At 45.1% G+C, this 23,021-nt stretch overlaps 1 protein-coding gene and 1 pseudogene across 7 annotated transcripts in view, besides 4 other annotated features; one reads left to right on the top strand and one right to left on the bottom strand.

Annotated features, from left to right (window-relative positions):
- On the bottom strand, positions 5,675–6,545 carry FTLP3 (ferritin light chain pseudogene 3; annotated as a pseudogene).
- Positions 12,978–13,579: an enhancer, noted in NCBI's record as "H3K27ac hESC enhancer chr20:3997331-3997932 (GRCh37/hg19 assembly coordinates)". NCBI's record gives its function as "activates a minimal SCP1, AML or CMV promoter by ChIP-STARR-seq in naive H9 embryonic stem cells {active_cell/tissue: H9 hESC(naive)}" and the evidence as "EXISTENCE:reporter gene assay evidence [ECO:0000049][PMID:30033119]".
- Positions 13,783–14,715: an enhancer, noted in NCBI's record as "H3K27ac-H3K4me1 hESC enhancer chr20:3996195-3997127 (GRCh37/hg19 assembly coordinates)". NCBI's record gives its function as "activates a minimal SCP1, AML or CMV promoter by ChIP-STARR-seq in primed H9 embryonic stem cells {active_cell/tissue: H9 hESC(primed)}" and the evidence as "EXISTENCE:reporter gene assay evidence [ECO:0000049][PMID:30033119]".
- Positions 13,783–15,198: a biological region, named in NCBI's record as "H3K27ac-H3K4me1 hESC enhancer GRCh37_chr20:3996195-3997127".
- Positions 14,599–15,198: a silencer, noted in NCBI's record as "silent region_12636". NCBI's record gives its function as "represses an Ori minimal core promoter by ATAC-STARR-seq in GM12878 lymphoblastoid cells {active_cell/tissue: GM12878}" and the evidence as "EXISTENCE:reporter gene assay evidence [ECO:0000049][PMID:35858748]".
- RNF24 (ring finger protein 24) overlaps positions 14,705–23,021 on the top strand; it is an 88,248-nt gene continuing 79,931 nt past the window's right edge. For 3 of the 7 annotated variants that reach the window (NM_001134337.3, NM_001134338.3, XM_011529146.3), the window contains exon 1: positions 14,705–14,826. The gene's annotated coding sequence lies outside the window, so the exon portion shown is untranslated. Of the gene's footprint in view, positions 15,119–23,021 lie in introns of all 7 variants that reach the window. The other 4 variants (NM_001321749.2, XM_017027621.2, NM_007219.5 and 1 more) reach the window with 2 other exon arrangements.

Raw genomic sequence — 23,021 nt, 5'->3', positions numbered from 1 at the left:
ACAGAGCTCTCAAAACTCAAGGGGAAAAAAAATCCCACAAATAATCCACTTAGAAAATAGGCAAAAGATATGACCAGCCATTTCACTAAATAGAATATACAGATGGCAAATAGAGATAAGAAAAAAAAAGTTCACCATCAGTAATTACGTGAGAAATGCAAAGTAAAAACTACAATCAGTTATTACTACACACCTATCAGAATAGCTAAAATAAAAAGTTATGACAATAACAAATGCTGGTGAGAATGCAGAGAAACCAGATCACTCATACATTGCTGGTGGCAATGTAAAATGGCACAGCCACTCTGGAAAACAATTTGGTAGTTTCTTACAAAACTAAACATGCAACTTCCATGTGACTTAGCAATTGCACTCGTGGACATTTATCCCAGAGAAATTATATTCACACAAAAACCCATATACAAATGTTCATCACTATCTTATTGTGTTGACTCTTTGTAACACTTAAAACTGGACATGATCCAGATACTCTTCAAAAGGTGAATGGTTAAACAAACTGTGGAACATCCATACCCTGTAATACTACTCAGCAATAAAAAGGAACAAACTACTGATTCGTGCAACAATTTGGATGAATCTCCAGGGAAGTAGTATGCTGAGTAAACAAAGCCAGTTCTCAAAGGTTGCATACAGCATGATTTCATTTATATAATATTTTGAAAGGACAAAATTATACAGATGGAGAACCCTCATTCATAGTTGCCAGTTAGGGAAAAGGCGGGTCGGGAGGGAGGATGCAGGTGTGATTATAAAAGGGCAAGGCTGGGCGCAGTGGCTCGCGCCTGTTATCCCAGCACTTTGGGAGGCTGAGGTGGGCAGATCACGAGGTCAGGGGTTTGAGACCAGCCTGGCCAACATGGCGAAACCCCGTCTCTACTAAAAATACAAAAAATCAGCGGGGTGTGGTGGCACGTGGCTGTAGTCCCAGCTACTTGGGGGGCCAAGGCAGGAGAATCGCTTGAACCTGGGAGGCAGAGGTTGCAGTGAGCCAAGACCATGCCACCGCACCCCAGCCTGGGCGACAGAGCGAGACTCCGTCTCAGAAAAATAAATAAATAAATAAATATAAATAAATTAAAGGACATCACAAAAGATCCTTGTGGTGATTGAACTATTTTTTATCTCAACTATGGTGGTGATTACACGAATCTATACATATGATAATTGCATAGAATTAAATACATGCATACACACAAGTCCTATAAAACTAGGGAAAATGGAATAAGATTGACGTTATCAGTGTCAATCTCCTGGCTATGATACTATGGTATAGTTATGCAAGATGTTACCATTGGGGGAAACTGGGTGAAGGCTATACAGAATTGTTCTGTATTATTTCTTATAACTTCATGTGAATCTACCATTGTCTCAAAATTAAAAGTAAATTTTAAAGAAAGTTCATTAGAAAGAAACCTAGAGGAATATAGGTGTAGACAATATAACGGATTTGAAAGAATGCATTTGAGAGCAAGCATTCACCCACATATACAGAATAAATCCCCAAACTCAGTAGTAAGGAGAGTCACATGATGGTGGATGTCTAAGGAAAAGAGCTTGGGCCGGGTGTGGTGGCTCATGCCTGTAATCCCAGCAGCACTTTGGGAGGCTGAGGTGGGCAGATAACTTGAGGTCAGGAGTTTGAGACCAGCCTGACTAACATGGTGAAATCCCCATCTCTACAAAAAAATACAAAAAGTAGCCAGGCATGGTAGTGGACACCTGTAATCCCAGCTACTCAGGAGGCTGAAGCAGGAGAATTGCTTGAACCTGGGAGGCAGAGGTTGCAGTGAGTCAAGATTGTGCTACTGCGCTCCAGCCTGGGCAACTCTGTCTTGAAAAGAAGGAAGGGAGGGAGGGAGGGAGGAAGGGAGGAGGAAGGAAGGGAGGAGGAAGGAGGGAGGGAGGGAGAGAGGGAGGGGAGGGGAGGAAGGGAAAGACAGAAGAAGAGAGAAAGACAGAGAGATGAGAGAGGGAGAAGGAAGGAAGGGAGGGAGGGAGGGAGGGAGGGGGAAAGAGAGAAGGAGAGAGATGAGAGAAAGAGAGAGGGAGAAGGAAGGAAGGAGAGAGAGAAAGAGAGGAAGGAAGGAAGGAAGGAAGGAAGGAAGGAAGGAAGGAAAGAAGGAAGAAACCCATTCAGGTTTGGGGGATGTAAGTACAGTGAGAACCCTGGATAGAGCTTAGGGTGGCAGTTAGACTCCCAAATAGAGATAGCTGTGTGCACATGAGGCAGGTTGAGACAGCCTTGCCAGGGCTGCCAAGAGCCAGCAAAGTGTGGAAGTAAAAGAATGAGTTGTGCACACCTGAGAATAACCCAAAAATAAAGAAGTGCCTTAGATAATCTACTAAGTTCCCCTGGCCCAGCACAGGACCTTGGAATACACTGGGCGTCAAGAGGCACACAGGAGCGGCAGCCAGCCCCCAAGGAATCACACAATCCTGGGTGTGGCTGGAGCCAGCGAGGATTTCTGTGAGCTGACTGCCAGAGACAGGATACAAAGAATACACTGTGAGCTGACTGCCAGAGACAGGATACAAAGAATACATCTCAGTGGTAAACTAAAAGCTTTACCACCATGCAATATATCCATGTAACAAAACTGCACTTGTACATTTTAGATGTATAAAAAATAAGTTAATCGCAGGGCGCAGTGGCTCATGCCTGTAATCCCAACACTTTGGGAAGCCGAGGTGGGTGGGTCACCTGAGATCAGGAGTTCGAGACCAGCCTGGCCAACATGGCGAAACCCCGTCTCTACTGAAAATACAAAAATTAGCCAGGCATGGTGGCATATGCCTGTAATCCCAGCTACTCGGGAGGCTGAGGCAGGAGAATTGCTTGAACCCAGGAGGCAAAGGTTGCTGTGAGCCAAGATCGCGCCACTGCGCTCCAGCCTGGGCAACAGAGCAAGACTCCATCTCAAAAAAAAAAAGTTAATTTAAATATTAAATTTTCTTTAAAGAAGCAAAGAGACCCAACTGATAACACAGATAAATTTAAAACATAACATTCTGGCTGGGCGCAGTGGCTCACGCATGTAATCCCAGCACTTTGGGAGGCCAAGGCAGGTGGATTGCATGAGCCCAGGAGTTTGAGACCAGCCTGGGCAACATGGCAAAACCCCATCTCTACAAAAAATAATACCAAAATTAGCCAGGCATGGTGGCGTGTGCCTCTGGTCCCAGCTACATGGGGATCCTTGAGCCCTGGAGGTCAAGGCTGCAGTGAGCCATAATTGTGCCACTGCTCTCCAACTTGGGCTACAGGGCAAGACCCTGCCTGGAAAAAAAAAAAAAAAAAAAAAAACAAAGACATAACTTTCTGAATAATAGAACCTAAACAAATCAATTATTCTCATTATTCACAAGTTGGATTTAGCTTCTGTTATATCCTTTGTCTTTGCTTGAATTGAGTTTTGTATTAATAATCGAGGGATTGAATATGGACTGTATGAGCTTGTGCTATTTAAACATTAAGTTTTACATGCAAAGCACCCTTGTAAACCATAAATACAGTGAAAATCTAAGATAAATGTTTTTAAAAGTGCTTTGCCCATCCTATATATGAAAAGTAGCCTTTAAAATTGGCCTATTGAGAAGAAATCCAGGACTTTTCTCTCTTTATCCAGCAGAATGAATTTAAGAATTTATAGTATATATTTGCTTCCCTTCACATACAACAATAAAAATATTTGGGTTGGGTTGGAAGCAGCTGACGCTGCCAGTGTCTTACACATCACCCTTGGCATTCGCCCCTGCACATGGAAAGCTGCTTAATGTGAACATCTGTTGCTTTCTGCCTGGGGGCTTTTATTTCTAGTCACAGGAACATGCTTGGTCTGTGCACAGGGCAAGCCAGAAGTGCTGGAGAGTGAAGGCCCTAAGAAGTAGCACTCAACCACTGATGGACAGGGAGTTGGTAGATAAAAATCCCAGCTTTTTCGCTCCTTGGGCTGGATAGAGCTGAGATGTGTGCTCTGCACTGGATCCCAGAGTCTCCAGCAGGGTGAGCTTGTTTCCCACAGTGGTAGCTTGCTTGCTGACATATCCTGTATTGGCTTCTTTCCCTTCCCTGTCTCACTCCGCTAACTGGTGCTTCCTGAGATCACCTCCCACATAAACTACTTGCACTTGAATTCTTGTCTTAGCATCTGCTTTGGGAGAGAACTGAAAACAAGATCAGTGGTAATTGCTGGTTAGTGCATAAAACTAAATGCACTGTGTTAAATGAAAGAAACCAGATCTGAAAGGCTTCATACTGTATGACTGCATTTATCTAACGTTCTAGAAAAGGTAAGACTATAGGGAGGGAGAAAAGGTCAGTGGTTGACAGGGTTAAGGGGGAGGCAAGAGGCTGACTGCAAAGGGGAGCTATGAGAGATTTTTGGGGGGTGATGCAACTGTTCTGTAGCATGACTGTGGAGGTAGTTACATGACTCTGCATTTTCAAAAGCCATATAACCGTATACAGTGCCATGAAGAATACATGTCACTAAGGCACAATAGCCTTAAAAATACATGTAATTCACTTAGCCTATCCTTGACATGTAGAGAGGATAATCCTGAGATCCAGGGAGGAAAAATGACATACCCAGATCTTATACCTACTTCAAGAGTAAGTCAGGACTAGAACCCAAGCCTCAACAGTATTAGGCCAGTCCTCTTTCCAACAGTATGTGGGATCTCTGTCCTTTATCTAATTTACCTCAAAAGTCTGTGCTTCTAACAAAAAGTGGCTATAAAGATGGCAATATGACAGTAGTCACTTTGGTGATGACAGTCTTTAACATATCTATCTCTTGAGTCTCTCTGCTCCAATCCTCCAAGTTTCATCATCTCAGCCTCATAGGGATTCCTCATCCCTCTCCCCTGTGTTGGATCTCCCATTTCCCACATGTTGTGTCTTTTTCTTTGGGTTACTCCCTTGGTTTGGTGGAGCACATCCTTAAATTACTTCCCAGAAAAGGAAACATGGGATGTGCATATCTGAAATTGTCTTCATTCCACTCATTTCTTGATTGTTTCACTGTATATAGAATTCTAGATTGGAAACAATTTTTCTTCAGAATTTTGAAGATATTACTCTAGTATTCTACCTTCCAGTGTTGCTGGAACAATTCCAGTGAAGAGAAGTCTGGAGCCATGCTGATTCTTAAGACTTAGTATATGACTTATTCTTTTATTTGTTCAAGCTTGTGGAATCATCTCTTTATCCTTAGGGCTGTGAAATTTCACAATTATGTGCCTTGGTTAAACTAGGCAAACGGTGAGCCCTTTTGACCTGGCAATTTATGTTTTTCAATTTGGGAAATTTTTCTTGAATTATCACATTGATGATTTCCTTCCCTCCTTTTCTGAAATGCTTGTTATTCAGATGTTAAACCTTTTGGACTATTCCCCCTACATTCCTCATCTTTTCTTTCCTGTTTTTCATTGTTTTGTCTTTCAGATCTATTTTCTGTGAGATATTCTAGACATTTTTCTCAAGCCATCCATTGAATTTTTCATTTCTGCTGTTGTGTGTATGTGTGTGTATGTGTGTGTGTTTATTTTAAAGCTTATTTTTTGTTTCTTGTCTCAAAATAGCATCTTATTCTTGTTTCATGGGTGTAATATCACCTCTTATTCTTTTTTTTTTTTTTTTTTTTTTTTTTTTTGCATCAGAAAGCCTTATTTCCATTTGGTCCAAGGCTTGTTAGGGTAGTTAAGAAAGCTGCCTATTGGCTGGAGGGAGAGGCTTAGGCAGAAGCCCTATTACTTTGCAAGGGGCCCTTCAGAAGTCGCTGGGCTCATAAGGCTCTTAGACGTGCTTGAGAGTGAGCCTTTCGAAGAGATACTCGCCCAGCCCAGCCTCTGGGCCTCCCAGCCTGTGGAGGTTCGTCAGGTGGTCACCCATCTTCTTGATGAGCTTCACTTCCTCATCTAGGAAGTGAGTCTCCAGGAAGTCACAGAGATGGGGGTCCATGTGGGCAGAATCCAGGGCATGAAGATCCAAAAGGGCCTGGTTCAGCTTTTTCTCCAGGGCCATGGCAGCTTTCATGGCATCTGGGGTTTTACCCCACTCATCTTCAGCTGGCTTCTTGATGTCCTGGAAGAGAGCGCGGCCGCCACGCTGGTTTTGCATCTTCAGGAGACGCTCGTAGCCCTCGCGCTTCTCCTCGGTCAATTCGCGGAAGAAGTGGCTCACGCCTTCCAGAGCCGCATCATCGCGGTCGAAATAGAAGCCCAGAGAGAGGTAGGTGTAGGAGGCCTGCAGGTACAAATTGACCAGGCTGTTGACGGCTGCCTCCACGTCGGTGGAATAATTTTGACGAATCTGGGAGCTCATGGTTGGTCGCCAAGAAGGAGCTAACGACAAAAACGGTGCTGGCAGGTCCCAGAAGCAGGAGATAGCCGAGAAGATGGTCCCGGAGGTTGCAAGTGGAGAGGAAATTGGAGGGCGGTCGGAGGCTGGAAGACCGTCCCCGGATCTGTTCCGTCCAAACACTGTTGAAGCAAGAGACAGACCCACTGGACCGCCGAACTGCCTATCACCTCTTATTCTTAAAAATAAATCTTGGTTTCCTCCAACTTGCCTTTTTCTGTTTATTTTAATTATTAGTTTGCTTGCTTGTTTTGACTTGTTTTTATTGTTATTTATTTTCTATCTTCCATGTTAGCAGCTTTCCTCAGATATTTGGTAATCTGGTAATCTACAGTAGATGTTATTGGTGTTCTGCCCATACCTTCAGCTGCTATAAATCTCGGTCATAAATAGACCAGAGCTGCCACTTTATCTAAAGAATTGTCCTCAAGTAGGAACTACCTTGCCTGGGAATTCATGGCTTCCTCCCTGGCAGCCCACAGCCAGTGATTGATCAATATATGGATACAAAAGCTGGCCCTCTTGCTTCAAGGTGAGATCAACCCTGTGGTGCAATTCATGCTCCAGGGCTCCCTGTGGGTCAGACTGAGGCTAGACTCCAGCCAAGACCACATCCTTGCTCAGTTCCTTTCCATGCTCTTTCTGGAGGTGGAAAAAGGAGCTTCTTCTGAGGGCCCGCCCGCAATAAATCGCATGCATCTGAATCTGCATCACAGCTTCTGTTTCTAGGGAACCTAAGACATAATCTTTAGCTCTCTGCTCTTGATTAAGAGTAAAGGACTATGAAAAACCCTGAGTGCAGGAACTGGGCTTGTCAACTGTGATTCACCGTAGGGAGACATGGATGGTCGTTTACTGGAAATCTGAATGCCAGTATCCTTCATTCTTTCCCTTTTGGCTGGTCAGAGTGCTCAGAGAAGAGAGGTGGAGAGTAGCTGCCAGTGATTTGGGAAGTGATCAGAGAAGAAAGCTGAGGTTCTCAGCATGCAGTGAGGAAATAGTCACTTAACGCCCCTGTTCTCCACATGCCACCTTTGTCCTCAGCCACGCCTGGTGCCCCAGCCCAGAGATCCTCCTTTTTACTCTCTCCGGAGGTGAAATCTCCAGCCCTCTGCCTGATGAGAGAGAGAAACCTGCTGCTCGGAGAGTGGAAGAGGGGAACTAAGATTTTAACTGCTTCCCAATCACCTTTCACCCAGTTATCCTGATTCTTTGGCTTGCCCAGTACCAGAGATATCTAGGACTGCCAATTCCCATTTTTTTTTCTGTTTTTCTTTCTTTCCCCACCCCCCCTTGGATTTTGCCATGAAAATAGGGCTACTCTTAACTTTCCCTGGGTTTCAGCTTTCTTGGGGCTGCTGAGTCGATTACCACTCACCCATCTGTTTTCTATCTTCCAACTTATTTTTCCCCCACTATTGTCTACTCTGTTCTCTCTGTCCTCATGAGTTTGTGTCTTTAAACAAAATCCCTTTATAATAGTTTTAGTGAGTTTTGGGAGGAGCAAAAGTAGATGGGTGGATTCAATGCACCATCTTAACCTGGAAAAAAACTCCAATGGTATTAGGGAGATGTCTCCTCCCTGCATTCCCCTCCTTGTGAGCCCCTTTGGATGACAGACAGGCAAGTGAGAAACTAAGTAATGGAACCAAAGGCCTGGGATGGAAGCCGTGTCTCCCCATGGACAATGCTGTTCCACTACAGAATCCAAGCTTCTTCCCTCAGTCATGGCCTGAGTCAGCCTTTGAGGGAATAAAGGGCTGGAGTCCAGATTATGATGGCGTAGGTTGGAAGGGTAGGAAGCCAAGAAAAACTAAGGAAGCCTGCCTGGAGGAAGCACTGCAGCAGCAGGAAAAGCAGAAGATACAGAGTCTCTTTATCTGCATGGTGTCCTTATCTCCCAAATGAGAGAATTCATCTCTTCCAACTCTGCATCTATGACTCTGTGGGGATAAAAGTCACTCCAGAAAGCCTGTCTGCTTTCTTGCCCTGTTCCTCTTTCCCGTCTGTTGCTTTGGGATGAGGTGATAATGATTGGGAACTATTTGGGTAGATTGGATAGGTTGAAATGGAGGAAAAAGAAAACCAGCATAGTTCCTTTTTCCTAGAATGAGTTATGGGCAAAGATATATCATTCCACTTTATTCCTTTCTCTTTAAAGCTCAGGCCTAACAGAACCTAGCAGAGAGAAAAGGCAGTGATATAATTGGCTGGGGGAAATTGGAGGGGCAGAAGCTGTGATGATGGTGGTAGCCAAATGGTGGTCACAGCTGTGGGGGTTGTGTAATCAATAACTGGAGGAGCTTAGCAGAGCGGCTTGCTTTGTTCCATAGATGTAACTTGAAAGTACCCTCTGGGAGGCTGAGCTGGGCAGATCACTCAAGGCCAGGATTTTGAGACCAGCCTGGCCAACATGGCAAAACCCTGTCTCTACTAAGAATACAAAATTTAGCTGGGCATGGTGGCACACGCCTGTAATCCCAACTATTCAGGAGGCTGAGGCACAAGAATCACTTGAACAACCAGGAGGCAGAGGTTGCAATGAGTCTAGATGGCGCCACTGCACTCCAGCCTGGGTGACAAGAGTGAGACTCTGTCTCAAAAAAAGAAAAGAAAAGAAAAGAGGGCCAGGCGCGGTGGCTCATGCCTGTAATCCCAGCACTTTGGGAGGCCAAGGCAGGTGGATCACGTGAGGTCGGGAGTTCAAGACCAGCCTGACCAACATGGAGAAACCCCGTCTCTACTAAAAAAATACAAAATTAGCCAGGCATGGTGGCGCATGCCTGTAATCCCAGCTACCTGAGAGGCTGAGGCAGGAGAATCTCTTGAACCCGGGAGGCGGAGGTTGCAGTGAGCTGAGATCATGCCACTGCACTCCTGCCTGGGCAACAAGAGCGAAACTCCGTCTCAAAAAAAAAAAGAAAAGAAAAGCAACCAAGACACTGAAGTCAGTGGAGAAATACTCTGGCCTCCTGGTCATCCAGGCAGACAATGCTGAGGGCTGTTCTACAAGGTTTCTCAGTGGACGCCAAGCCAGACTGAGCCTCAGTTGCCCATGGCAGTAACTGGCCCATCAGCATACCTTACTGTTGGCTTCTCTCCCTTTCACAGCTTGCTTTCCCCATTTCTTCACTCTTATTTCCTGGAATCACCTCCCAAGTAAATTACCTACATCCAAGCCCTTGTCTTAAGATCTGTTCTTGGGAGAATCCACGCTGAGATGGGTATCCTCCAATCTAAAAGTGAGTCTGAGCAGGTTGTTCCACCCCTGGGAAATAGTGCTTCCAGTCTCCTGCATGTGTGGCTGGTCTCAGCTAAAAAGCTCCCACATGAGATCTTGAGAACATTTATATTTTCAGGAGTTCTGGGTGATTGGGCTTGTGTGTGCCAGAAAGGCAACGGGGCTTGTTGGTGGCTGGGTAAACAGAATCCCAGGTTCCCACCTCCTTCGCTGGCTTGTGGGTGGACACACAGCCAGTCCTAAAGGTACCATGCACACAGAAACCTACGCTTTCTCCCCAACTCTTGCTGTTTCACAGTCTTGCACACACATTCTGCATTAAGAAGCAATTCCGGTGGCTCATGCCTGTAATTCCAGCACTTTGGGAGGCCGAGGCGGGTGGATCTTGAGGTCAGGAGTTCGAGACCAGCCTGGCCAAGATGGTGAAACCCTGTCTCTTCTAAAAATACAAAAATTAGCTGGGCGCAGTGGCAGGTGCCTGTAATCCCAACTACTCGGGAGGCTGAGGCAGGAGAATCACTTGAACCCAGGAGGCGGAGGTTACAGTGAGCCAAGATTGCACCACTGCACTCTAGCCTGGGCGACAGAGAGACTTCATCTAAAAAAAAAAAAAGAAGAAGCAATTCCACCCCTCCGTGGGCAGCGTCACGCCCCAGCAAGAGGTCCCCATGGGCTATGAGGAGGAGAGGGCCATTGGGAGGGATCAAGGCAGGAGGAGTCACTTTGGAATTCTTGGATGAAGAGGCTCGGGGAACACAGAACATCTCCTCCTCTACTGGCACAGTCCAACGGGTCAAAGCATTATATGATCAACCCTTAAAGGGGTCATTTAGAACTCTGAATAATTAAGCTTTCAAAGGATTGACCAGTGGGAGGGATGTTTTTCTGAAATCGTGCCATCTCAACAGATGGGGAGGATGGACAGAGGAATGGGGCTATAGGCAACCTTTGATTTCTAGCTTCTGTTTGAAAGACTGATTTTGTCTTGACCAGTCAGGCATTCATTCAACAAACTTGTATTGGGCACCTGATCCAAAGATGACTAAAACCAGCCCCTGTTCTCACTGTTCCAAAATTAGTCAGACGTTTGATTTAAAAGTAGTTGTGATTTCTTTTCCAGGAGTCTTGAAGGACTTCTGACCATATGGGTAGGGACAATTTTCTGAGATGGATTTGGGGTGAGGACATTGCTTAAAAGGAGGTATAAGGGCTGGGCGTGGTGGCTTACACCTGTAATCCCAGCAATTTCGGAGGCCGAGGCAGGTGGATCACCTCAGGTCAGGAGTTTGAGACAAGCCTGACCAACATGGAGAAACCCCGTCTCTACTAAAAATACAAAATTAGCTGGGCGTGGTGGCGCATGCCTGTAATCCCAGCTACTCAGGAGGCTGAGGCAGGAGAATTGCTTGAACCTGGGAGATGGAGGTTGCAGTGAGCCGAGATGGCGCCACTGTACTCCAGCCCAGGCAACAAGAGCGAAACTCCATCTCAAAAAAAAAAAAAAAAAAAAAAAAGAGGTATAAGGGAGGAGATGGGAGGGGACTGTGGGGAGGAAGGATAAAGAGAAAGAGGGGCATCCTCCGAAACTCCAAACAGTGAAGTCTTCCCTACCCTACCCCTACCCATCATGTGGAACAAGGAAAATGTTAGCTGCGAAGCCACCACTTCAAGTCCTAGCTGCCTGCTGTTTTGAGGTACCCACCTAAACCCTCCAGAGAAAGAATTGCCCACCCACACTCTCCCATCACTTGCATTTTGCCTAGACCAGTGGGGGCTGGGAGTGGTGGGGGGATGAGTAGACTCATGTGCATCACTAAGCAAAGAGGATCAGGGACTAGCAGGTGAACCTCCAGCCGGAAGCACCAGGAGGACAAAAACTGTGATTTCTTCCTTAAGGGGAACACGGGACAACCCGCTACAGGGGACAGAAGAGCAGGATCCTGCCATATGTTGTAGAAACTGTGAGGCCAGATTCCACCTGTCCAGTCCCAAAGGAAAACTTTCTCCTTGACCCTAAAAACCAGTTGGGCCAGTTGATGACACAGCAAAATTTTAATAAGATGAGTCTCCCTGAAAACAGCAACTGGACACGGCCCCTCCTCCTTCCGTTCATTCTCTCATTCTCTTTCCCACTCACCCCTAATTTTTTCAAGAACAAAAGACATGAAATGAGCCACTCCATCCTCTACCCTACAGCCTGATTGGACTAGTGAATTACTAGCCAAGCTTTCTAAACAAACAAACAAAACAGGTTTCCAAACGCAGGGCAGAGGAAGGAAGCCAAAATAAGGAAGAAGAAAGAAAAGGAGCTCAGCCTTTCCTTCTCCTGTGGAGCCTCCCCAGCCCACCAGGGAACATCACCTCCACCAATAGCCACAGCAGACCCACTATGTGCCAGTCACATATTAGGTCCTGGGAGATACTGATCCTGCTGATGAAGGACTCACATGCTGGTGTGGTAAGAAAATATGCAAATGAGCAGGGACCTTGGAGGGTGCCTAGTGCTGAGAGGGAAGTGGGTACAGGGCACAGGTGGGGATTCTCAAGGAAAGTCTGTCAATAAGTGGGGGCAGAAAAAAATACTTTATCAAAAATGACTTTGTAAATACTTTACTTTTTTTTAGAGCAGTTTTAAGTTTGCCACAAAAGTGAGAGGAATGTGCAGAGTTCCCAACTAGCCCTTCCCCCCTACACATACATAGCCCCCCCATTATAAACATTCTCCCACGGGAGCATTTATTACTATTGTTGGACCTACATTGGCACATCATTATCACCCAAAATCCATGTTTACATTAGAGTTTGCTGCTGGTATTATTCATTCTATGGATTTAGACAAATGTGTCATGACAGGTATCCACCATTATGGTATCATACACAGAGTATTTTCACTGCCCTAAAAAGCATCTGTGGATTTTCAGAGAAAAGAGCAACTTTTGCATGCTAGGTAAGTATTGCTTTCCTAGTAGGGGAACAGCAGGAAACAGCAGTCACCTTGGTGACTACTGAGGTGAAACACCATGGTGCTGTTCTGTAAATGGCTGGAAAATAAGGCTCAAGGAGCCAGATGGGGCAGGGAAAAAGAAAAAGACAGAAACACAGGCAGATTTGAATACCATGAGAATCGATTTGCATGAGAATGGATTGAGACTTCTGCAACAGCCCAGGGGAGAGATGAGGGGGCTGATTTAGAACAGTGAGAGGTTTGAGCAAAGCAAAGTTGAAAAGACCCTCCAGGTAACTGCTATGATTGACAGCAAGGAGGGCAGTGTTCCCCCAGCACAGCCCTGGCACAGGCAGCTCTAGAGGAAGCCTGGGTCTCCCACTCCCTTCCTTTTGCCACAGTCTCCCTAGCACATGCCTCCACCCTTCTCTCACTTTGGGGGACTGTGACCATTGGGTGGCAGGTGACTTCTTGAGAAATTCACTAATGTTTCCCTCTTTACTTCCTCCCTGCCTTGGTGGTTAATGGTTTGCCAAAGCAGAAGGAACATGCCTCTAGGCGCTTGCCATGATGACTTTTGCTTCCCAAAGTTAAGCTACTGAGCTGTTTATGGTTTATGTGATGGGGCCTGAGAGATTAGGAGAAGGAAGGAGAACTTCTGGGGGACACATGGAGACTGAGGAAGAGGGGGCAATCATTTTTGCAAGCTCTGAGCTGCAGCGCACACACAGTCAGCTGTGGAGCTTCACAGCCATTCCCTCTGCAGGCTCCTAGCCTCTCCAGAAACTTCCGTACCCCAGGAGTGGCAGACACAAGGCGATGGGAACAAGAGAGTATCTGCAGAATACACTGCCTGCTAAAGACAAGAGAGGACTCCCCAGATCCTTGCCTTGGTATTGCAGGAAGAGCTCAGCCTCCCAAAATCGGAGGTCAATTTATTGCCTGCCCTGTAGAATGGGAGCCGGAGGTTGAGGAGTGGATGTAAATAAAGGAATGCACTGTTTCTTGCACACACCTCTCTCCACTATCTGGGCAGAGTCTAGGTCTCATCCATCACCAAGGTTCTAGCACTCAGCTGAGAGGCTGCAGCAGGAGGGGCAGATGGAGGAGGGTGCGGTGCATACCATCTCCCCATCAAACCAATGGGCACCACGTGACCATTCTTGTGTCTCTGGGGACTGTCAATCTGCATGCTAGGAAAGGGGTGGCATTCCAATCTTTCATTTTTTTGTGTGTGAGACGGAGTCTTGCTCTGTCACCCAGGCTGGAGTGCAATGGTGCGATCTTGGCTCACTGCAACCTCCGCTCCCCGGGTTCAAGAGATTTTCCTGCCTTAGCCTCCCGAGTAGCTGGGATTACAGGCATGAGCCACCACACCCAGCTAATTTTGTATTTTTAGTAGAGACAGAGTTTCTCTATGTTGGTCAGGCTGGTCTGGAACTCCTGACCTCAGGTGATCCACCCGCCTTGGCCTCCCAAAGTGTTGGGATTACAGGCGTGAGCCACTGCGCCCGGCCCCATGCTTTCACTTTTAAAAATGCTTGTAGGGCACGCAAAAATACTAAACGGTCGATGGAGAAGGTCTGTCTGGAGTAGTTGTTTTTTTTTTTTTTTTTTGAGACAGAGTCTCGCTCTGTCGCCCAGGCTGGTGTGCAGTGGCACGATCTCGGCTCACTGCAAGCTCCGCCTCCCAGGTTCAGGCGATTCTCCTGCCTCAGCCTCCCAAGTAGCTGGGACTACAGGCGCCCGCCACCACACCCGGCTAATTTAATTTTTTGTATTTTTAGTAGAGACGGGGTTTCATCGCGTTAGCCAAGATGGTCTCGATCTCCTGACCTCGTGATCTGCCCGCCTCAGCCTCCCAAAGTGCTGGGATTACAGGCGTGAGCCACCTCGCCCGGCCTGTCTGGCGTAGTTCTAACCAGGAACAGAGCCAGCGGCCAGGGCCGCACCAGGCCTGGCCAGGGAGCGCCGCGCCTGCGCACTGCAGACTCTGAAGCCGCCGAGCCCTCCGCCGAGGTGGGTGGGGAAACTGCCCGGGCATCCGGGTCCCTCACCCCGCCCCCGCTGCATGAATGAGAGGCGCGGCGCCCGCCCCTCCCCCGGCGGGCCCGCCCCTCGCGAGGGGCCGCCGGGCGCAGTCAGCCGCCGCCACCTCCGCCGCGCTCTGTCCGGACGGACGCTCGCCGCCCGCAGCCTGCCGCCCGCCGCAGGGCGCTGACGGTCCCGCACGTCTGCCGCTGCCACCGGCGCGCCCGAGTAAGTGAGCGAGCGAGGGCGGGAGCGCCGCGGCCGCCGCCCCCGGGCTGGGGTTTGGGGGACCGAGCCGCTCCGGGTTCGGGATGCTGAGGAGACCGCGGGCCCGCGCCAGCCTCCCACACACACACACTCTCCCGGCGCCTCGGCCGGCCGGGCGCGGTGTGCAGGGGTGAGGCGGTGTCTCCAGGCTGAGGAGGGACGCGGAGGAGGGTCCGGCGCGGCCCCGGGACTGGAGGGTGAGTCCCTCACAAAGGGCGGAGCGGGGCTGTCACCTGGAGATCACGGAGGGAAGGTGCGTGGGCCCCCGCACGTCCTGCTCGCCCAAGCCCTGGCATCGGGTCCCCGGGCGTGGGAGGCGGCTGGGATGAGCTGGGAGGCTAGGAGGAGGATGGCGAGGACGCTGCCCCCGCGTTGGCGGTGGGCGCGCGCCTTGGGGGGTGCGGCGTGGCAGTGTTTTCCTGGTCCCCGTCCACTCCTCCCCTTTCTTTGTGGCGCTTGTCTCGTGCCCCGTTGTCACAGTGTGCATGGCAGTGGTCGGGGTGGAGACCTCTTCCCTCGGCTTACTCATTAATGAAAGTCACCATCTGTGGGCAGGGGGCGTGTGTGGTTCCACAGGCCGGAGAATTAAGGACCCTCCTTTGTTTCTGGAGACCTAATGATGTGTGTGTGTGTGTGTGTGTGTGTGTGTGTGTGTGTGCGCATTCAAGTGAAAGGGACATCTATGAAATGAGAGAATCAGAGATTGTCAAAAAGGGTATGAGGAAAAGGGGAGGGGATATAACTTCATCACACCTTTACCCAATTCTTTACCTGATGTTATTTCAAACAGTTTTTTCTCACTGTAAAACCAGTGGGTTTTATTCATTGGAAATGTGCATCTAAATTCTCATATATCTGTGTTTCTAGAATACTTTGCCTTTTTGGGCTTAGTTAATGGTAAGATTCTCATGTCTGTCTACATAGGAATACTCCACCGTACAGGACACTGCTTTCTGGGTTTAGTTCATTGATAATTTGTCCGAATGCTCATAAACATGTCTATAGGAATACTCCAATATATCTAGGACACAGTTTTCTCCGCTCCTGAATACAGGCAGATTTTGTTTCTTTCTGCCTCCCTGTGTTAATGAGAAGGTAGTCCAGCAGGTTCTCTCTACCTCCTTGCTTTTTTTTCCCCTTAATGCTTTGGCAGAGGGTTTTATTGCATATTACCCTGGCATGCGCCCTTGCTTTGATGTGAATTTTCCTGTGTTCTGTTGTCTGGTTGTACAGCCCAGCTCAATGGCTCCTCTTACAGGACTACTGGAAAACAGAACACCTTTTTTCATTGTCCTCATCTCCAGAGAGAGAAGGAAGCGCTGTAGGTTCCCACAAACGTTGACTCTGTCAGACTGCCTGCCTGACTTTGTTGTGTTGGTAAAGTTATGAAGAGTTGCAGTTGTTGTAGACCAATTAAAAAGAGGCTATTGGGATAACACCAGCTCTTCCTTGCTATTTTGGTTTTAAAACAAATGATATGAATTTTGCAAGATAGTTGTTAACTCTGGTTGCATGATGATTTTCAGTTTCTTTTTACCCATATACTTTTACAGGGTGTTGGGAAATTAGCCACTCATTTACAAGAAACACACCTCCAAGGTATTTTTATTATGGGTCGGGTGCGGTGGCTCACACCTGTAATCCCAGCACTTTGGGGGGCCGAGGTGGGTGGATCACCAGAGGTCAGAAGTTTGAGACCAGCCTGGCCAACATGGTGAAACCCTGTCTCTACTAAAAAAATACAAAAAATTAGCCGGGCATGGTGGCGAGCGCCTGTAATTCCAGCTACTCGGGAGGCTGAGGCAGGAGAATCGCTTGAACTCCCGGAGGCGGAGGTTGCAGTGAGCCTAGATCGCGCCATTGCATTCCAGCCTGGGCAACAAGAGCGAAACTCCGTCTGAAAAAAAAGCTATTTTTATTATGATCTTTGGATTCAAAATAGCGGTTTTAAAAAATTAAGAGGCGCTTATATTGGATGATATGAATAATTGTATGGGTTCTGTTTTCTTTAAGATTCTCTGTAATATTTTTAAAAATCACATGTATTTTAATTCCTAGTAGTTTTCAGTGGAAAATGAAATGTAAACTAAGCAGTCTTCCACAGCATCTGTTTATGTATATTCCCTCTGTTTAAAACATTTGCTTTTAATTTGAAGGGGAAATTTTCCATGGTCAGTTCAGGATACATTATTCTTAGTAAAATTCTTACCACGTTCAAATTCTTTTTTGTAAGAGTAAAAAAAAATTAATGAAAGTTGATTTTTCAATTGGGGATGTTTTGGTTTTAATGCATGATTTAAATAAAATCTTAATATCAATTAATTTAATTCAGATAAGTTAATTTAAAACAAGGCTTTTATGAAGGAAAAATGAAGCAGAAAAAAAAAAACAAGAGCTTTACTAACTAAAGTCACTAATGTTGAAGTAACCCAGTACATTTATAAACTGCCTGTCTTGACTGCATAAGACATTTTTTAGGAGTCTCCTTAAAACAAACCGTAAGGGGAAGTCTTAGATAAACAGAGTAGCATAACCGGAATTATCACTGAAATAAGCTTGCACAGTATCGCAATTTCATGGAAGTTTAATTTTGCAAGAGTGACTTAGCTATTTTTAATATCAACAAAGGAACCTAAACACAGCCTGGCCTTGTTATTCAGCATTCTGTTAATCAAAGTATTTGCCAACCCATAGTTTAGCATTCTGTAGTATGATGATTGAAGAAAAAATCTAAACTAACTTTTAGATCCTTAAAATAGATAAAATAATGTTAAGTGCTGTTTTAATAGTAAATATTTATTCATTAGAATAGTAATATTATGTTAGTGATGGTAAGAGCATAGATGGTAACACTTTGTTAACTAGGATCTATTATCCTCCCAGTAATGTCTCATAATAAAAAGTAATTTATTTTTCCATTGAGCATTCTCTATCAATAATTGCTTTTTTGTTTTTTGGGTGTTTTGTTGTTTTTTTTTTTTGAGATGGAGTCTCACCCTGTCCCCTAGGCTGGAGTGCAGTGGCGTGATCTCGGCTGACTGCAGCCTCCGTCTCCCAGGTTCAAGTGATTCTCATGCCTCAGCTTCCCGAATAGCTGGGAATACAGGCACTGGCCACCACGCCTGGCTAATTTTTTTTTGTATTTTTAGTAGAGACGGAGTTTTGCCATGTTGGCCAGACTGGTCTTGAGCTCCTGGCCTCAAGCCATCTGCCTGCCTTAGCCTCCCAAAGTGCTGTGATTATAGGTGTGAGCCACCGCGCCCGGCCAATAATTGTTTATTGTTTTAAATGGGAGTTTATTCTAAGATCAGTAATAATGCTATTACAATGTGTTAGCTTGAATCATATGAAATTGCCATGTTGAGACTGAGAAAAAATCAAAATCAGCAGTCTTATATATTATATAGTTAAACCACTCTCAACTCTTACTGGTTTCTTTTGGTATTTACCTTTATACTTATTTCATTTTTAATGTTTATACTGCTATTTCTTAGCTCTTCACTTTTGGATATTCTCTGTGGACTTCTATTTTGGAAGTTGAAGACTTAACTGTCTCACATAACTATCCTTCCATTTCCCACTCATACTTGACAGTTAGGTCGGTATTCAGGATTTATATGACTGACAGTGTACCTGTTATTCACAGTTGAGCCACGTAGGGTGCTATTACTGTGTTTTCTTCTTGAACAACTTTTGTTGCTCCTGAATTAAATAATTGCCTCTTTTGTTTGTTTGGTTTTCATTTGCTGAGTTTTCTTTGTATCAGTCACTAATTCATTCAAACTCTATGACAAAACTGATTATCTTTGAATATTCTCAGGTAGTCACTCACTTTCATATCTTTTCCCCAGGAGATGGTCCTGCTGGAGCCCCCTCTCTCCTACTCCAGTCTGGAATTGTTTGCTCCCTGGACTACTGCATAGCCATCATCCTGGGACTTCCCTTTGTCATCATCTTGGGAATTCCCTTTGCCTTCCTCCTGTGTTAGGTCTTCTATTTCCTGGACCCTGTGTCTTCCTTATTCTTGAGTAGCTTCCTGAGAAAGGGTACATACAAAATCTGAAATTCCTTCCTGAATTCAGAAGTTACATGTCTGGAAATGCCTTCATTTTACCTTCACTCTTGAATGGTAGTTTAGCTTGGTGTTAAAATCTGGATTGAAAATTAATGTGACTGTTTTGAAGACATTGTTCCATTAGCTTCCAGTGTCACTATTGAGAAGTCCAATGTCATTTTAATCCTCATTCCCTTTTTCTTCCCACTCTGAAAGATTTTAGGATCTTCAGTTTATCCCTGGTGTTCCTGACATTTCATGATGTACCTTGGAATAGATATTTTTCTTTACTTTTGCTTGTGGGGTAGATTGTATTTTCCAAAAAGGCTGTATATGTATGTGTGTGCATACTCCCCCCATCTCACCCAATATGCTATTCTTTGTGCCTCCATCAAGCAGTGGGGTCTTTGTTTCCTCCTCTTGAACCTGTGCAGACAGGAATTCTCCCCCGAACGTTTTGGATCTTGAGCATTGTGTTTTAAGAGCACAGCTGCAAGATCAAGAACATGCACCTGGCACTGCTAGGTGCCCAGCGCCATCAGGCCAGCATCTCCCTTCCCATTTTCCTTGTGACCACTGTTTAGGCATTGAGATTAAGCACTGTAGATGTGTATGTGTTCATTGAGAGAGGGGATTAAGTTTTTTTACTTTTAAATGAAATCAACAATGAAAATATCAATTGACATCAGAGAGAGTTTCTTTTAAGCAGTGAAATGAACCAACATGACGGCTGTCAGGTGCATTTTTTAAAAATCCACCTTAGGAAATGACAAAAAAAGAAATGACCAAAAAGAAACTAACTTGAGCTTCATGATTAAATATGTCATTATTAAATGTGACAAATATATTGTTTGCAAGAATTTCTGTGATGAGAAGATGGAAGCAAAAGGAGCTGCATAAATCACAGCTTCACAGAACATTGTCAGTATTTTTGTGTTTATCTCATGGATACATATTATTATTATTATTTTGAGATGGAGTCTCACTCTGTCACCTAGGCTGGAGTACAGTGGTGCAATCTCGGCTCACCACAACCTCTGCTTCCCGGGTTCAAGCAATTCTCCTGCCTCAGCCTCCCGAGTAGCTGGGACTACAGGCGTGCGCCACCATGTCCAGCTAATTTTTGTATTTCTGGTGGAGACGGGGTTTCACTATGTTGGTCAGGCTGGTCTCGAAATCCTGACCTCGTGATCTGCCTACCTCAGCCTCCCAAAGTGCTGGGATTGCAGGCATGAGCCACCGCATCTGGCCTTGTTTGTTTGTTTGTTTGTTTGTTTGTTTGTTTGTTTGTTTGTGACAGGGTCTCACTCTTTCACCCAGGCTGGAGTGCAGTGGCGTGATCTCGGCTCACTTCGACCTCTGCCTCCCAGGTTCAAGCGATTCTCCTGCCTCAGCCTCCCCAGTTGCTGGGATTACAGGTGCCCGCCACCATGCCTGGCTAATTTGGATACATATTTTTAAAACATCCTTTGTTTACTCTTTAAAAATTTTAAAATTAAAAACCCTTTTTTTTCTATTTATAGCTGCTTTATCATTCATTTGGCTTTTCCATGACACCACCCAAGTGGCTGGATATTACAAGAGAACTTCAGATTCATGACCAAAAATCCGAAGTAGACACTCAGCACTGCCCGGCAAAGCTACCATTGAATCTTAATAAGATCTTTTTGCCTATCACTATTTCATAACTTCTCTCCACTCCTTAAACTTATCAGCAACCCACCCCTCCTACTCAGATAAGCTGACCTCATAGTTCATTGAGGGTTTAGGAGATATCAGACAGAAACCACTCATCTTCCCCCCAACCAAATGTAGAAATCTGCCTTCCTTAGACCCATGTTTTCTGTCTCCTGTCGGAGGCAAGCTCCCCTTTCTACTGTGTTCCTCCTCACATCTTCTATACCTCATGCCCCCTCATATCTCACAGCTTTAGCATTTTTGCCCTCTCTCTTGCATCATCAGCAACTCTCCAGGGGGCTATCCATGTCAGCATACACATATGCCGTGACGTTGCCCATCTTTAAAATCAGAATAAGCTTCAGCAAACAACTTTTCCCTGACCCTCCTCTATCCCTTTCTATTTACCTACATGGTTAAGTCTCTCAAAAGAGAAGTTTACGTGCCTTCCCTACCTCCTCTATAGTACGTACCACCCTCTGAAATTCTGTTGTTTAATAATTTTTGTGTGACTTACCCCTAATAGAAGGTCAGCTCCAGGAAGGCAAGGACCTCATCTGTCCTGTTTACCACTCTGTCCCCTAGGACAGCAGGTGGCACAAGTGTCTACTCAGTACATGGGCAAAAGAGGCACAACTGACCTGGTAAAATAGCTTTTGATTTTTAAAAATTTCTAACAAGAGAATCCATGTTTTTTAATTACTCACCATTTTTTGCTACACTTAAGAATTGAAACAATTATGAAGAATATATTAATGATCAAATTTTGCCCTATGTTACATTTCATTCTTTCATAAGTATGACTTAATATTGGCAGTCTTGGGCCGGGCATGGTGGCTTATGCCTGTAATCCCAGCACTTTGGGAGGTCAAGGCGGGTGGATCATGAGGTCAGGAGTTCAAGACCAGCCTGGCCAAGATGGTGAAACCCCATCTTACTAAAAATACAACAAATTAGCCGGGTGTGGTGGCGGGTGCCTGTAATCCCAGTTACTCGGGAGGCTGAGACAGAGAATTGCTTGAACCTGGGAGGTGGAGGTTGCAGTGAGCCAAGATTGTGCCATTGCACTCCAGCCTGGGTGACAGAGCGAGACTCTGTCTCAAAAAAAAATATATATATATATAATATATATAAATAATATATATATAATATATAATATGTATAATATATATATTATATTATATTATATATTATACATATTATATATTATATATTATATATATTATACATATTATATATTATATATAATATATATATTATACATATTACATATATAATATATATATTATATATATAATATATATATTATACATATTACATGTATAATATATATATTATATATATAATATATATATATATTTGCAGTCTTGCACCTGGACTCTGGCATCAGACTGCTTGGAGTTGAATTCCAGCTCTTTCACTTTTTGCTATGTGACCTCCAGCAGGTTTCCTAACCTCTCTCTTTCTTCATTTGTAATGTGGTTAATAATAGTTCCTACCTCATGTGTTTGTTTTGTGTTCCAAATGAGATAATATGTAAAACACGAAACTCAGTACTCGTCTTGGGAGTAAACTCAATGAAAAATAATAGTAATTATTATAGCCTCCTCCAGTTTATAATATTTGACTCTGACTTGGTCTCTATAATATTTTTGTTCAAAATACTATATCTCCTAGGGTATATGGGCTATCAATATGATGATTCAGCTGTTCTTGGTTTTGTGGGGGGCGGGGGTGTGTTTGTTTTTAAGAGAGAGAGTCTTGTTCTGTCGCCCAGGCTGCAGTGCAGTGGTGTGATCTCCAACTCACTGCAGCCTTAACCTCCAGGGCTCAAACAATCCTCCCACCTCAACCTCCCAAGTAGCTGCGACCACAGGCACACACCAGCATGCCAGGCTAATTTTTTTTCTTTTTTTTTTTTTTTTTTTGTAGAGACAGGGTCTCACTATGTTGCCCAGGCTGGTCTCAAACTCCTGGGCTCAAGTGACCCTACCAGCACCTCCCAAAGTGCTAGGATTACAGGCAGGAGCCACCATGCCCAGCCAATAAATCATTTTGATCACTTGATAAAATATTTTTATTTCAAGCCAAGTCCTGTTCTTTGTTTATTTGGTTTTCTCAGAGGTGAGGTTCTTTCTTCATGTTATTCCACATTAAGTTTTCTTATTTCTGGAAATGGAGCTTTAAAAACACCCAATATATCATCAACAGATTTTTTTTTCTTTTGAAACAGCTATAAGACAATGTTCTTTTCATCTACTAGCTAGCTGGGAGGGTAAATATATGTAGCAGTACGAAGTATATTCTGAGGACCACATAAAAAATACAGACAGGCTCTGTAGAAGTTCAGGCTAGGGAGAGTCAGGTACTTCTAACCCTAAGGGATTCCTACAGCTTTTCTGCATGTTAAATAGTCTGTTTTAGC

The sequence above is a fragment of the Homo sapiens genome, chromosome 20 (assembly GCF_000001405.40).
Source record: "Homo sapiens chromosome 20, GRCh38.p14 Primary Assembly".
Lineage (NCBI taxonomy): Eukaryota > Metazoa > Chordata > Mammalia > Primates > Hominidae > Homo > Homo sapiens.
Note: the sequence above shows the minus strand (reverse complement) of the source record. Positions and strands in the feature narration are given on the sequence as shown.